The sequence below is a fragment of the Homo sapiens genome, chromosome 2 (assembly GCF_000001405.40).
Source record: "Homo sapiens chromosome 2, GRCh38.p14 Primary Assembly".
NCBI classification, from domain to species: Eukaryota; Metazoa; Chordata; class Mammalia; order Primates; family Hominidae; genus Homo; species Homo sapiens.
In genome coordinates, this window is record NC_000002.12 from 232354579 (window position 1) to 232370521 (window position 15943).

A 15943-nucleotide genomic window follows, 5' to 3' on the forward strand; every position below is an offset into this window, starting at 1 on the left:
ATTGCACCACTGCCTCCAGCCTGGACAACAGAGTAAGACTCCACCTCAAAACAAACAAACAAACAAACAAACAAAAACAAACAAAGCTGGTGGGGGAGATTTGTAACTGCATCAGAATAATCTGGTTCAACTTTGTTTTTATTTTTTATTTTTTTGAGACAGAGTCTCATTTTGTCACCCAGGCTGGAGTGCAGTGGCACGATCTCGGCTAACTGCAAGCACTGCCTCCCAGGCTCAAGTGATTCTCATGCCTCAGCCTCCTGAATAGCTGTGACTACAGGTGCACACCACCACGCAAGGCTAATTTTTGTATTTTTAGTACTTCCTGCTGATTAGGGATGTAGGCCTTGGTTAGAGGAATGAAATTGTTTTTAGTAGAGATGGGGTTTCACCATGTTAGTCAGGCTGGTCTTGAACTCTTGACCTCAAGTGATCCACCCATCTCAGCCTCCCAAAGTGCTGGGATTACAGGCAGGAGCCACTGTGCCCAGCTTGGTTTAATTTTTATGTAACAAAGTTGTGAGTTGTTTTTCAGCGGCCGTGGACCCCCAGGTTAAAGTTCGCATACCTTGAGCATGCCCAGGTGAACAAAGCATGCCACCATAGGGAGGACCTAAGTGCTCCAACCAAGGAGCAAGAACTGAATTAAGAAGCAGATGGGGGGGAGGAGCCAAGATGGCCAAATAGGAACAGCTCCAGTCTACAGCTCCCAGCGTGAGTGATGCAGAAGATGGGTGATTTCTGCATTTCCATCTGAGGTACCAGGTTCATCTCACTAGGGAGTGCCAGACAGTGGGCGCAGGTCAGTGGGTGCGTGCACCGTGCGCGAGCCGAAGCAGGGCGAGCCATTGCCTCACTCGGGAAGTGCAAGGGGTCAGGGAGTTCCCTTTCCTAGTCAAAGAAAGGGGTGACAGACGGCACCTGGAAAATCGGGTCACTCCCACCCGAATACTGCGCTTTTCCGACGGGCTTAAAAAATGCCGCACCAGGAGATTATATCCTGCACCTGGCTCGGAGGGTCCTACGCCCACAGAGTCTCGCGGATTGCTAGCACAGCAGTCTGAGATCAAACTGCAAGGCGGCAGCAATGCTGGGGGAGGGGCGCCTGCCATTGCCCAGGCTTGCTTAGGTAAACAAAGCAGCCGGGAAGCTCGAACTGGGTGGAGCCCACCACAGCTCAAGGAGGCCTGCCTGCCTCTGTAGGCTCCACCTCTGGGGGCAGGGCACAGACAAACAAAAAGACAGCAGTAACCTCTGCAGACTTAAGTGTCCCTGTCTGACAGCTATGAAGAGAGCAGTGGTTCTCCCAGCACGCAGCTGGAGATCTGAGAACGGGCAGACTGCCTCCTCAAGTGGGTCCCTGACCCCTGACCCCCGAGCAGCCTAACTGGGAGGCACCCCCCAGCAGGGGCACACTGACCTCACATGGCCGGGTACTCCAACAGACCTGCAGTCGAGGGTCCTGTCTGTTAGAAGGAAAACTAACAAACAGAAAGGACATCCACACCAAAAACCCATCTGTACATCACCATCATCAAAGACCAAAAGTAGACAAAACCACAAAGATGGGGAAAAAACAGAGCAGAAAAACTGGAAACTCTAAAAAGCAGAGCACCTCTCCTCCTCCAAAGGAACGCAGTTCCTCACCAGCAACGGAACAAAGCTGGACGGAGAATGACTTTGAGGAGCTGAGAGAAGAAGGCTTCAGACGATCAAATTACTCCGAGCTACGGGAGGACATTCAAACCAAAGGCAAAGAAGTTGAAAACTCTGAAAAAAGTTTAGAAGAATGTATAACTAGAATAACCAATACAGAGAAGTGCTTAAAGGAGCTGATGGAGCTGAAAACCAAGGCTCGAGAACTACGTGAAGAATGCAGAAGCCTCAGGAGCCGATGCGATCAACTGGAAGAAAGGCTATCAGCGATGGAAGATGAAGTGAATGAAATGAAGCGAGAAGGGAAGTTTAGAGAAAAAAGAATAAAAAGAAACAAGCAAAGCCTCCAAGAAATATGGGACTATGTGAAAAGACCAAATCTACATCTGATTGGTGTCACTCTGAAAGTGACAGGGAGAATGGAACCAAGTTGGAAAACACTCTGCAGGATATCATCCAGGAGAACTTCCCCAATCTAGCAAGGCAGCCCAACATTCAGATTCAGGAAATACAGAGACCGCCACAAAGATACTCCTCGAGAAGAGCAACTCCAAGACACATAATTGTCAGATTCGCCAAAGTAGAAATGAAGGAAAAAATGTTAAGGGCAGCCAGAGAGAAAGGTCGGGTTACCCACAAAGGGAAGCCCATCAGACTAACAGCGGATCTCTCGGCAGAAACTCTATAAGCCAGAAGAGAGTGGGGGCCAATATTCAACATTCTTAAAGAATTTTCAACCCAGAATTTCATATCCAGCCAAACTAAGCTTTGTAAGTGAAGGTGAAATAAAATACTTTACAGACAAGCAAATGCTGAGAGATTTTGTCACCACCAGGCCTGCCCTAAAAGAGCTCCTGAAGGAAGCGCTAAACATGGAAAGGAACAACTGATACCAGCTGCTGCAAAATCATGCCAAAATGTACAGACTATCGAGACTAGGAAGAAACTGCATGAACTAACGAGCAAAATAACCAGCTAACATCATAACGACAGGATCAAATTCACACATAACAATATTAACTTTAAATGTAAATGGACTAAATGCTCCAATTAAAAGACACAGACTGGCAAATTGGATAAAGTGTCAAGACCCATCAGTGTGCTGTATTCAGGAAACCCATCTCACGTGCAGAGACACACATAGGCTCAAAATAAAAGGATGGAGGAAGATCTACCAAGCCAATGGAAAACAAAAAAAGGCAGGGGTTGCAATCCTAGTCTCTGATAAAACAGACTTTAAACCAACAAAGATCAAAAGAGACAAAGAAGGCCATTACATAATGGTAAAGGGATCAATTCAACAAGAAGAGCTAATTATCCTAAATATATATGCACCCAATACAGGAGCACCCAGATTCATAAAGCAAGTCCTGAGTGACCTACAAAGAGACTTAGACTCCCACACATTAATAATGGGAGACTTTAATACCCCACTGTCAACATTAGACAGATCAACGAGACAGAAAGTCAACAAGGATATCCAGGCATTGAACTCAGCTCTGCACCAAGCGGACCTAATAGACATCTACAGAACTCTCCACCCCAAATCAACAGAATATACATTTTTTTCAGCACCACACCACACCTATTCCAAAATTGACCACATACTTGGAAGTAAAGCTCTCCTCAGCAAATGTAAAAGAACAGAAATTATAACAATCTCTCAGACCACAGTGCAATCAAACTAGAACTCAGGATTAAGAATCTCACTCAAAGCCGCTCAACTACATGGAAACTGAACAACCTGCTCCTGAATGACTACTGGGTACATGACGAAATGAAGGCAGAAATAAAGATGTTCTTTGAAACCAACGAGAACAAAGACACAACATACCAGAATCTCTGGGATGCATTCAAAGCAGTGTGTACAGGGAAATTTATAGCACTAAATGCCCACAAGAGAAAGCAGGAAAGATCCAAAATTGACACCCTAACATCACAATTAAAAGAACTAGAAAAGCAAGAGCAAACACATTCAAAAGCTAGCAGAAGGCAAGAAATAACTAAAATCAGAGCAGAACTGAAGGAAATAGACACAAAAAACGCTTCAAAAAATTAATGAATCCAGGAGCTGGCTTTTTGAAAGGATCAACAAAATTGATAGACCGCTAGCAAGACTAATAAAGAAAAAAAGAGAGAAGAATCAAATAGATGCAATAAAAAATGATAAAGGGGATACCACCACCGATCCCACAGAAATACAGACTACCATCAGAGAATACTACAAACACCACTATGCAAATAAACTAGAAAATCTAGAAGAAATGGATAAATTCCTCAACACATACACTCTCCCAAGACTAAACCAGAAAGAAGTTGAATCTCTGAATAGACCAATAACAGGATCTGAAATTGTGGCAATAATCAATAGCTTACCAACCAAAAGGAGTCCAGGACCAGATGGATTCACAGCCGAATTCTACCAGAGGTACAAGGAGGAACTGGTACCATTCCTTCTGAAACTATTCCAATCAATAGAAAAACAGGGAATCCTCCCTAACTCATTTTATGAGGCCAGCATCATCCTGATACCAAAGCCAGGCAGAGACACAACCAAAAAAGAGAATTTTAGACCAATATCCTTCATGAACATTGATGCAAAAATCCTCAATAAAATACTGGCAAACCGAATCCAGCAGCACATCAAAAAGCTTATCCACCATGATCAAGTGGGCTTCATTCCTGGGATGCAAGGCTGGTTCAATATATGCAAATCAATAAATGTAATCCAGCATATAAACAGAACCAAAGACAAAGCCCATATGATTATCTCAATAGAAGCAGAAAAGGCCTTTGACAAAATTCAACAACCCTTCATGCTAAAAACTCTCAATAAATTAGGTATTGATGGGACGTATCTCAAAATAATAAGAGCTATCTATGACAAACCCATAGCCAATATCATACTGAATGGGCAAAAACTGGAAGCATTCCCTTTGAAAACTGGCACAAGACAGGGATGCCCTCTCTCACCACTCCTATTCAACATAGTGTTGGAAGTTCTGGCCAGGGCAATTAGGCAGGAGAAGGAAATAAAGGGTATTCAATTAGGAAAAGAGGAAGTCAAATTGTCCCTGTTTGCAGACGACATGATTGTATATCTAGAAAACCCCATTGTCTCAGCCCAAAATCTCCTTAAGCTGATAAGCAACTTCAGCGAAGTCTCAGGATACAAAATCAATGTACAAAAATCACAAGCATTCTTATACACCAACAACAGACAAACAGAGAGCCAAATCATGAGTGAACTCCCATTCACAATTGCTTCAAAGAGAATAAAATACCTAGGGATCCAACTTACAAGGGATGTGAAGGACCTCTTCAAGGAGAACTACAAACCACTGCTCAAGGAAATAAAAGAGGATACAAACAAATGGAAGAACATTCCATGCTCATGGGTAGGAAGAATCAATATTGTGAAAATGGCCATACTGCCCAAGGTAATTTACAGATTCAATGCCATCCCAATCAAGCTACTAATGACTTTCTTCACAGAATTGGAAAAAACTACTTTAAAGTTCATATGGAACCAAAAAAGAGCCCGCATTGCCAAGTCAATCCTAAGCCAAAAGAACAAAGCTACAGGCATCACACTACCTGACTTCAAACTATACTACAAGGCTACAGTAACCAAAACAGCATGGTACTGGTACCAAAACAGAGATATAGATCAATGGAACAGAACAGAGCCCTCAGAAATAACACCGCTTACCTACAACTATCTGATCTTTGACAAACCTGAGAAAAACAAGCAATGGGGAAAGGATTCCCTATTTAATAAATGGTGCTGGGAAAACTGGCTAGCCATATGTAGAAAGCTGAAACTTGATCCCTTCCTTACACCTTATACAAAAATCAATTCAAGATGGATTAAAGACTTAAACGTTAGACCTAAAACCATAAAAACCCTAGAAGAAAACCTAGGCATTACCATTCAGGGCATAGGCATGGGCAAGGACTTCATGTCTAAAACACCAAAAGCAATGGCAACCAAAGCCAAAATTGACAAATGGGATCTAATTAAACTAAAGAGCTTCTGCACAGCAAAAGAAACTACCATCAGAGCAACCTACAAAATGGGAGAAAATTTTCGCAACCTACTCATCTGACAAAGGGCTAATATCCAGAATCTACAATGAACTCAAACAAATTTACAAGAAAAAAAACAAACAACCCCATCAAAAAGTGGGCGACATGAACAGACACTTCTCAAAAGAAGACATTTATGCAGCCAAAAAACACATGAAAAAATGCTCACCATCACTGGCCATCAGAGAAATGCAAATCAAAACCACAATGAGATACCATCTCACACCAGTTAGAATGGCAATCATTAAAAAGTCAGGAAACAACAGGTGCTGGAGAGGATGTGGAGAAATAGGAACACTTTTACACTGTTGGTGGGACTGTAAACTAGTTCAACCATTGTGGAAGTCAGTGTGGCGATTCCTCAGGGATCTAGAACTAGAAATACCATTTGACCCAGCCATCCCATTACTGGGTATATACCCAAAGGACTATAAATCATGCTGCTATAAAGACACATGCACACGTATGTTTATTGCAGCATTATTCACAACAGCAAAGACTTGGAACCAACCCAAATGTCCAACAATGATAGACTGGATTAAGAAAATGTGGCACATATACACCATGGAATACTATGCAGCCATAAAAAATGATGAGTTCACGTCCTTTGTAGGGACATGGATGAAGTTGGAAATCATCATTCTCAGTAAACTATTGCAAGAACAAAAAACCAAACACCGCATATTCTCACTCATAGGTGGGAATTGAATAATGAGAACACATGGACACAGGAAGGGGAACATCACACTCTGGGGACTGTTGTGGGGTGGGGGGAGGGGAGAGGGATAGCACTGGGAGATATACCTAATGCTAGATGACGAGTTAGTGGGTGCAGCGCACCAGCATGGCACATGTATACATATGTAACTAACCTGCACATTGTGCACATGTACCCTAAAACTTAAAGTATAATAATAATAAATTAAAAAAAAAAAAAGCAGTTGGAGCTCTGGTGTCACCCCCATGGCAGTTTCCAGTAACATCACACCTCGTTAGCCTATGCTTCTAAAATTTGACCCAGTGCCCAGCTCAGAGACACACTGCCTTGGGAACTGTCCCTGCTGGTTCCCTGTTACAAGTAACAAAATCCCATTGCTAAATCCTCCTTGGTTATGGTCACTGGGTGATCATTGGGTGATACCAATATTGAGGCAGGAGAATAGGGTCTGGACACAGGGAACCTAAGCCTGTTTCACACCGACTTCCTAGAACTAAATTGAAGGCAGAACCCTACCTTTCCATGCCTAAGTAACAAAAGGACCACAGGCTACTCCCTTTGCAACCCCCTCACCTTTTCTGCTAGGCAGATGGGAAATTGGCTGTCCACAACCAATCAGATTGATTGAAGGTCCAGTCTTTGTTTGCCACTTTGTAACTTCACTCCAGCCTCTGAATGGCTGCTGTCCACAACCAATCAGACTGATTGCTGGCCACATCTTCGTTTCAATAGAAGTATAACTTTGTAACTTCACCCTAGTCTCTGATTGGTTGAACAGGAGTGTAACCTTTGTAACTTCACTTCAGCCTCTGGTTGGCTGCTTTCTGTAACCAATCAGACTGATTGCAGGCCACCACTTCATTTACATGAGGTGAGCATGATGTGGCCAATGGGAAACTTCTAGAGGATATTTGGACCCAAGAAGATTCCGTATCTGGGCCCTTGAGCTGCTGCTCGGTCCACTCCCAAACCATGGAGTGTACTTTCGTTTTCGATAAATCCCCATTTTCATTCTTTTGTTGCTTCATTCTTTCTTTGCCTTGCTGGGCATTTTGTCCAATTCTTTGTTCAATAGGCCAAGAACCTGGACAACCTGCAGTCACAACCCTCCACCAGTGACAATATAGTTTAGATTTGTGTCCCCACCCAAATCTCATGTTGAATTGTAATCCTCAGCATTGGAGGAGCTCCCTGGTGGGAGGTGACTGGATCATGGGGTAGGACTTTCCCCTTGCTGTTCTCGTGATAGCGAGTGAGATCTCACAAGATCTGGTCATTTAAATGTGTGCAGCCCCTCCCCCTCCTCTCTCTCTTCCTCACTCTCTGGCCATGGAAGACGTGCCAGCTTCCCCTTTGCCTTCTGCCATGATTGAAAGTTTCCTGAGGCCTCCCTAGCCATGCTTCCTGTACAGCCTGTGGAACTGTTAGCCAATTAAACCTCTTTTCTTATAAATTACCCAGTTTCAGGTGTTTCTTCATAGCACTGCAGAATGGACGAATACACTCATGGAGAGACAGGATCCACCTGCTGTGTGGTAACATCCTGACCCAGCACATCTGGGGCCCATCAAGTCTCCATGGGGTGGTGGGAGGAGCATTAACAACAAAGGCAGCACCTGGCACCTTCTGCGGGCGATGGGAAGACTGAGGGCAGGAAAAGCAAACATGCTCAGCACTGTGCTCAGCCCAGGGCGACTCTGAGACAAGAGAGGGGCCAGAGCCGGATGCAGCTGGGAGGTGGCAGCCTTACCAGAGGTTTGAGGAGTACATGGGAAAGTGCACAGAGCCCAGCCCAGGATGGCAGCTGTGCTCTCATTTTCTTGCAGCCTTTAGGGGCTACCTGGCTGGGGTGGTGGCCCTGCTGAAGAGAACCTGCCCCTAGCAGGCATGGGGGCAAGAGCACCTTTCAAAGGTGAACAAATGTGTTCCAATTTGCAGCAGCAAAGCTGCCAGAGGTCCCAGGAAGCCCAGGTTCATCTCATTTACCTAGCCATCTCTGGCAGCATTGGTATTTGAGAGCGTGTATGCGGGCAGAAGAGAGGAAAAAGACCTGCACCAGAACACCTTTCCAGAACACCCTTATCCCTTGAACACCTGAGTGCCTAGAGCCCAGCCCCAGCTCCCAGCAAGCCCCCTCCCCAAAACCACTATAGCCACTGGGCCTCCCTTTGGCAAGGCCTGAGGGCCCAAATGTGGCCACCTAGCCTCTGGGGACTTCCGTCCTTTGGAGCTAGAAAAACAGTAGCTGAATGTGCCTGGCTGCAGCAGGGCCCCGCCGACTCACCTATAGAAAGGCCCTGCCGTGGACTGAGCCTCCCAGCCTAGGAAACCTGGCTCTGGCCTCCCCTGCAGGCATGTGATGTTTGGCTCCAGAGGCCTTCTCCTCTGGGCTTTTCCATGCCTGTGAACTGGGCCCCATTCATTTCTCTGTGGTTTCATGGGAACGTCCAATGCATTCAGGAGGTTGCAGTGCACCCAGGAGGAGAGGGGTCAGCGAGAGGCCCGAGCTGTGACTGGTGGGCCACCCAGAGGCCACGGCACCCTCTGCTGGAGACTGGCAGCAGGGTGCATGGCCAGCTGTGGGCGAGGGTCCATCAGTCAAGCAGCTACACTTCCTCCCGGTGCCCCTCCCTGACCCAGGCCAGGGGCTCTGCCTGCAGCTGCCTCACTCCAGGCCTCCACTTTCCAGCTCCCAGGCCCCCAGCCCCACCTGGCCTGGCCCGGGACAGAGCAGCCACCAAGATCTTTTCCACTTTCCCTCCCCAGCAGCCTGCAATTCAGTGCCCTGCAGACCCCTGCCTCCCGGGGCCCTGCGGTTTCTACCACACTACACTCAATTTCCGGCCACTAAGAACACGGCAGGTCCCGCGTAAAGGTGGCCGCCACCTGCGCTCTGAGGGCTGCCCAGCCACGGAGAAGTGGCTGTGCTCGGGCACTCTGCTTCTGAGACAGGCCCAGCAGCTGCCTTCATGGCCTCAGGAGAGCCCACAGGCTCCAAGCCTGCAGTAAGGACCTGCCTAAGTCCTTGAAAATTTGGTGTTCAGAAGAAATGAAAGTGAAACTGGCTGGGAGCAATTCTTTTGATTTTGTTTCAAGACAGGGTCTCACTCGGTTGTTCAGGCTGGAGTGCAGTCATGCGATCATGGGTCACTGCAGCCTCAACCTCCTGGGCTCAAGGGATCCCTCCTGCCTCAGCCTCCTAAGTAGCTGGGACAACAGGCACATTCCACCACACCAGGCTGACTTTTTTTTTTTTTTTTTTTTTTTTGTAGAGATGGGATCTCACTTTGTTGCCAATGCTGGTCTCAAGCTCCTGGGCTTAAGCAATCCTCCCGCCTTGAACTCCCAAAGTGCTGGGATGATGGGATGATACACCACTCCCTGCATGCCATACTTACCAAAGTTCCACGTTAGCAGTTTTCAGCAAGAGCTAATTGACCAAGCTCTGTGAGTGGCCTCATTCCATTAGCAGGAGCCTCCCACAGAATGTGACAGAATGGTCCTGGTGGCTGAGGGTAGAAGGGGCTGCTTCTCTTAAGTCTTTGAAGATGAATGCAGTTCAGCTTTGGCTAACAGCCATGCCCTTCTGCCCAGGCCCAGATCAACTTTTAATCATTTCCAAAGCCAGTCTGACTGTCCTGGGAAAGGAAGGGTTGGGGTGAATTTCTTATCAATTTGGCAGGTACATTGGATCCTGTGAGGAGAGTATGAGACTGTACGAGGGGTCCCTGTGCTAGCCCCAAATGAGAGCCCTGACTCCCACCTACCCAGCCCACCCGCCCCGCACTGCTCAGCTCAGTTCTCCGTTCCGGGGATGGAGTGCTGGGCTTGGCCTGCACCTTTCTGTCCCCAAACTCCACTGGGGACCCACCTTCTAGTCACCCCAGGGTGCCATCACCAGAGCCAGGGGCTAGCCCCACCTTTGCTCACTCCTGCTCGGAGCCCACCTCTTCTCTCTGCCCCCATCGCTACCTGCAGCATCAGAAGGACATGAGGGCACCAAACAGCCCCTGCAGCTGTCCTCAAACATCATGGCCAAGGCTGCGCCTGGGAAGTGGACTCTCTGCGGTGCCAGCTCCCTACTCACTGCCCTTGACTTTTGTCTGGGTCCCTGCTTGATGTGGCCCAACTGGCTGGGCCAGAGCCCCACAGGCGCTGTCCCGACCCCCAGCCCCCTAGAGGGAGGGAGAGGCTGAGACGGCAAGGGAAGCAGAGACTCAGCCACACCAAGGGCCCTGGCAAGGTGGGCCTCTCCTCCAAAGCCTCACCAGGCTTCACGTTCAAGGTCACCAAGAGTGCACTTGTTCTCTGTCGAGGGCAGAGGTGACTCCGGGGACTGTGCTGGGGTCCAGGGAGGGCAGGCAGCGGAGTTGCCAGGGAAGCAGCTTGCCTGAGGTCTGTGGTCTTGGCAGGGGCTTCCGCAGCAGCCCCACCCTCTCCCTTTCCCCTCCCTCCTGTCCTTGTCCTCGTGTTTACTGAAGACCATGAGAAGGGATGTGGAGAGCGCCTGCAGGAACTGAGAGCAGGAGCCTGGCTCAGCCCTGAGAGGCCCCCAGATATTCAGTTCCTAAACCCATAGAGGGTGGGGCATGGGCACAGAGGAGTAACCAGGGGCCACCTCACACAGCCCTGCTCTTTCACCCTGCCCGCCTGGTGGCCTCCTTAGCCTGCAGCCTCAGTGCTGCCCGATCTGGGGCCATGCTGCGTCCTGCTGGCCACACTGCAAAATGCAGCTTAAGGTCGGCCTGGAAGCTCCAGGTGTCCTTCTTCCCCTAGGCCTACAGCTGGGCTGGAGGGGGAAGGGGCACCAGGAAACAGCCTGGATGCTCCTGCCCAGGAGGATTGTCCGACTCCATGGGGAGAAAGTCCGTGCCTGGCACATGGTAATCTTTGTGGAGCGAGAGGGCAAAAGTATGCATGATTGTGTGCATCTGAAGCATTTCTGTGCTGATGGCCTGACCGAAGGCAGATGACAAATCATGCAGATATTTCTGCAGCAGGAATGGCTGCATTCTCCTGGCTCGCCTGCCAGGGAGCTCAGAGGTGCCCTTGCCCGGGAATCCGATGGCAGAGAGTTACCAGAAGGTCTGCGGTGCTCCTGTTCCTCGGCCCCGGTGAGAGGTGACAGCGTGCTGGCAGTCCTCACAGCCCCTCGCTTGCTCTTGGCACCTCCTCTGCTTGGTCTCCCACTTTGGCGTCACTTGAGGAGCCCTTCGGCCCACCGCTGCACTGTGGGAGCCCCTTTCTGGGCTGGCCAAGGCCGGAGCCAACTCCCTCAGCTTGCAGGGAGGTGTGGAGGGAGAGGCGCGAGCGGGAACCAGGGCTGCGCGCGGAGCTTGCGCGCCAGCTGGAGTTCCGGGTGGGCGTGGGCTTGGCAGGCCCCGCACTCTGAGCAGGCGGCCGGCCCTGCCGGCCCCGGGCAATGAGGGGCTTAGCACCCGGGCCAGCGGCTGCAGAGGGTGTACTGGGTCCCCCAGCAGTGCCAGACCACCGGCGCTGCGCTCGATTTCTCACCGGGCCTTAGCTGCCTTCCCGCAGGGCAGGGCTCGGGACCTGCAGCCCGCCATGCCTGAGCCTCCCACCCCCTCCATGGGCTCCTGTGCGGCCCGAGCCTCCCCGATGAGCGCCACCCCCTGCTCCATGGCGCCCAGTCCCATCAACCACCCAAGGGCTGAGGCGTGCGGGCGCACGGGGCGGGACTGGCAGGCAGCTCCACCTGCAGCCCCGGTGCGGAATCCACTGAGTGAAGCCAGCTGGGCTCCTGAGTCTGGTGGGGGCGTGGAAAATCTTTATGTCTAGCTCAGGGATTGTGAATACACCAATCGGCACTCTGTATCTAGCTCAAGGTTTGTAAACACAGCAATCAGCACCCTGTGTCTAGCTCAGGGTTTGTGAATGCACCAGTCGACACTCTGTATCTAGCTGCTCTGGTGGGGCCTTGGAGAACCTTTATGTCTAGCTCAGGGATTGTAAATACACCAATCGGCACTCTGTATCTAGCTCAAGGTTTGTAAACACAGCAATCAGCACCCTGTGTCTAGCTCAGGGTTTGTGAATGCACCGATCGACACTCTGTATCTAGCTGCTCTGGTGCCAGATTTGTCTCCTGGAGAGAGGCATGGGCACCTGTGGTCTCCCCGCCTCCTGGCCTCCCCTTGGGTGCCCTTATGCAGAAAGGGTCCCGGCCCCAGGCTTGCTTGGCTTTGGGGACTGTTTTAAAAGGGACATGAAGAAAGAAGAAGCCAGAGAATGGTCCTTGGCCACTCTGGATGGAGTGTCCGCTGAGCAGTAGGAAGAGAACTGTCCCTGGCTCGTCTCCTTCCCTGAGTGACTGTTGATTCACAGTTCTCTCTCCAAGGGGACATGGGCCTGTCCTAATGCTGCCTTAGGGGCTTGGCTCCAGCTGACCCTGGGGTCTGCAGGTCACCACCTGCCCCTGTGCCTGGCTTTGAATTTCCTAACATCCAGAGTGCCCTGGGAGTACAGTGTCCAGCCCGTTGTGTGTAGTAAACCGGGAGCTGAGCAGAAGAGGAACGACAGAGTCCACCCGTTGACCCTCGGGGCTGTGTGTCCTGAAGTTCAAGCCTAGCTCACCCTGCAGTGGGTCCAGCCCCACCTGTACTGACAGATGGCACCAGCAGGGAGCGCAGTGCTCCACTGCCACAGTTCTCTGTCCCCACTTCAGTGCAGTCAGCCCTGGACCCCCCACCGCCTGCTCCCTGTAGCACACACAGCCACAGGCCCTCCCAGCTCCCGCCCCTGGCCCTTGGTCACTCTCACCTGCTGCCTCAGCCGAAGGTAGCCGGTAGGGCCTCCCTGAAGCTCCCTCCAGCCAGACAGGGGTGGGCCAGGGCTGAGGGCCAAGGGCCGCCTCCAAGCAGTGAAGCCCTCCAGGGTGGAAGGGCAGGTGGCCCCCTCTGTGTCCCGTTCCCCTAAGTCCCGGCGAGCCCTCCCCTTCCTCCTGCGGTGCCCTCTGCCCTCATCTATGTGCCCTGGTGGGCTCCCCCAGCACTGCAGCCTCCCGGGTGGGGTTTCAGGACCCCCAGGGCCTCCCAGCTCACTCAGACCCCCACCCCCTTCCTGTAGCTCTGCTCTCTGGCACCACCTTCCCTCTCTTGGGGACAACCACAGTGGAGAGAGGCGGGGCTCTCTGCCTGTCCCTCTATTGCAGGGGTGCTGGCCTTCTGGGGTCCTTTTGAGAACTTGATGAAAGCTATGAGTTTACACCCAAGAAATTCTCTGGCACCGTTTGCACCAACAACATGCCCCAAAGGTGGAGCCAGGCCCCCAGGTTGCATTTTGTAAGTCTTGGGAGCTCTCAGGATGCATCAGGGACACGTGGCCTCTGACTCGCTCAGCTCTGCCCTGACCCAGGGCGTTCATCCTGGAGCAGGCCTCCGTTACTGACTGGCGAGCAGAGGCTTCCAGAGGCTGAGGGAGGGGCCTGGGGTCCTCCTGCAGGGACCAAGACGGAGCTGCGCCTCAACATCAGGCCCTGCCGTCCTTGTCTCCTCCCAGCCGGGCTCTGTACAGGTCATCACCGTCTTCAGCCTGCTGGAGGGGGTCCTGCGGGCAGCCATGGCCCTCTAGTATAGCGCTGTCCTGAAGCGGCCAGGCACCCAGGGCCACCTGGGCCCCGCGGGGGAGGAGGACTGAGGCTATCTGGCCCTGCTGGCTTTTAGAAATAGGAACTGTTGATACCAAGGGGAATTTTTAATTCTGTTTTTAAAATGTTTAAATTTTTCTAACTTAAATTTAATGTTTTAAGTTTTTAAATTTAAATTTAATTTTTTTTTAGAAACAGGGTCTCGCTCTGTCACTCAGGCTCAGGGTATGGTGGCACCATCGCAGCTCAAGTAGCTTCAAACTCCTGACCTCATATAGTCCTCCTGCCTCAGCCTCCCGAGTAGCTGGGGCTGCAGGCCTGTGCCACCATGCCCAGCTGTTTTTGGGTTTTTGCTTTGGAAAAATGGGATTTCGCTTTGTTGCCCAGGCTGGTCTCAAATTCCTCATCTCAAGCAATCTTCTTGCTTTGGCCTCTCAAAGTGCTGGGATTATAGATGTGAGCCACTGTGCCTGGCCTGTTTTTATTTTTATTTTTGGATTTTATTTTATGTTTGCCTCTCAGTTTTTAAGCAAACTGCAAGGAAGACGGTGGGGCTAGAAGGAAGGCTGAGGCCTGGCCAGCAATGGCCCAGCATCCCCCTGAGTGGCCAACCCCCCTTTCCCCCACTGCCCTCCTCTGCCCAAGAAATGAGGGCTTTTCAGTAAATCCATGTCAGGGAGCAAAGTCAAGTGTGGAGTGCCATCTGGTGTGTGGGGCGCCTCTGGGAAGCCTGGGCAGCGGAATGCCCCCTTGCACCCAGCGCAAAGGACCCAGCTTAGGCTCCAACCCTTGCTGCTGAGCCGATGTCACCACCCAGAACCTTCCTGTCAGTTCCAGCACAATTCAGAGCTGGCTGCCTGGCAGATTGATGCTGGAGTCTCATTCTGCCTGATTAAAAATGGAATTAGTATGCAGCACTGAGAGCGCCCCCATCACCCTGACACATGTGACTATGTCCAACCCTGCCCCCACTTCCTCTCTGCACCAGCTCCGCAGGACCTGGTAGGGGTCAGGGGTCCTGTGACACCCACTCCTCGCAGTTCCTCAAGCAGCACTCTGTGAGGTCCTGTGCCCAGCTCTGGTGTGAGTGGGTACCCTGGCAGCGCCAAGGGAGCCTGGACAGAGGAGCCGGCCTGGGCCTGGGGGAGGGGAGGAGGGCCCTCCAGTGCCTTCCAAACCAGGAGGGGAAACCGGCTGCTGGTGACACAGCCTGGCCCCGTTGACCACCCAGTGTCCCAAGCACCCACAGATCCCACCTGCCTCGGTCCCGAGCAGAGCTGGCCGGCCACTGGGCAGTCCCTTCCCCAGCCAGCCTGACCCCAGTCTGCACTCCTTCCCCCTCCGTGGGGGAAGCTCTGTGGCTTGGAGTCCCCGAGGGCTGCCAGAAACTAGGATGAAAGCCATGGTGAGCACGGCCTCTGTTCCCCTGCACCATTTCCTGGGGTGTCCGGATTAACAAGCTCATTTGATCTGGTTACAGTGAATTTTCTTCAAAGAAACACTCAATAGGGTCCCTTGTCAGAGTGCCTCGCAGCGACAGTGACTGGGTACTGCTGCCTTTGTTCTGCCACCGTCAGACGGGGCTGGCTGTGGGAGGCGACCAAAGACATCCCGCACCTGCCCTGGGAGCCTTTCCCTCCTCCAGGGCTCAGCCACCTCAGGCGGCCTTCAGTCTGTGTGTCCTGCCACCCCCGAGATGTCCCAGAGGCCACGGTCACCCCATCTGTTCCTGTCCCCAGAACCTTCTCCTGGAGCCAAGTATCTGCAGGGACAGACAGGCGAGCGTCTGGGGGTTTGGTGTTGGGGTGGAGAAGGCTGTGGGGTGCTGCCCCAGCCCAGGCAGCCTGACTGTGAGAGCCCCAAACAGGAGACAT

The 15943-nt window shown here is 51.3% G+C and overlaps 2 annotated features.

Moving 5' to 3' along the window:
- Window positions 9491-9580: an enhancer, noted in NCBI's record as "active region_17322". NCBI's record gives its function as "activates an Ori minimal core promoter by ATAC-STARR-seq in GM12878 lymphoblastoid cells {active_cell/tissue: GM12878}" and the evidence as "EXISTENCE:reporter gene assay evidence [ECO:0000049][PMID:35858748]".
- Window positions 10762-11358: an enhancer, noted in NCBI's record as "H3K4me1 hESC enhancer chr2:233230050-233230646 (GRCh37/hg19 assembly coordinates)". NCBI's record gives its function as "activates a minimal SCP1, AML or CMV promoter by ChIP-STARR-seq in naive and primed H9 embryonic stem cells {active_cell/tissue: H9 hESC(naive and primed)}" and the evidence as "EXISTENCE:reporter gene assay evidence [ECO:0000049][PMID:30033119]".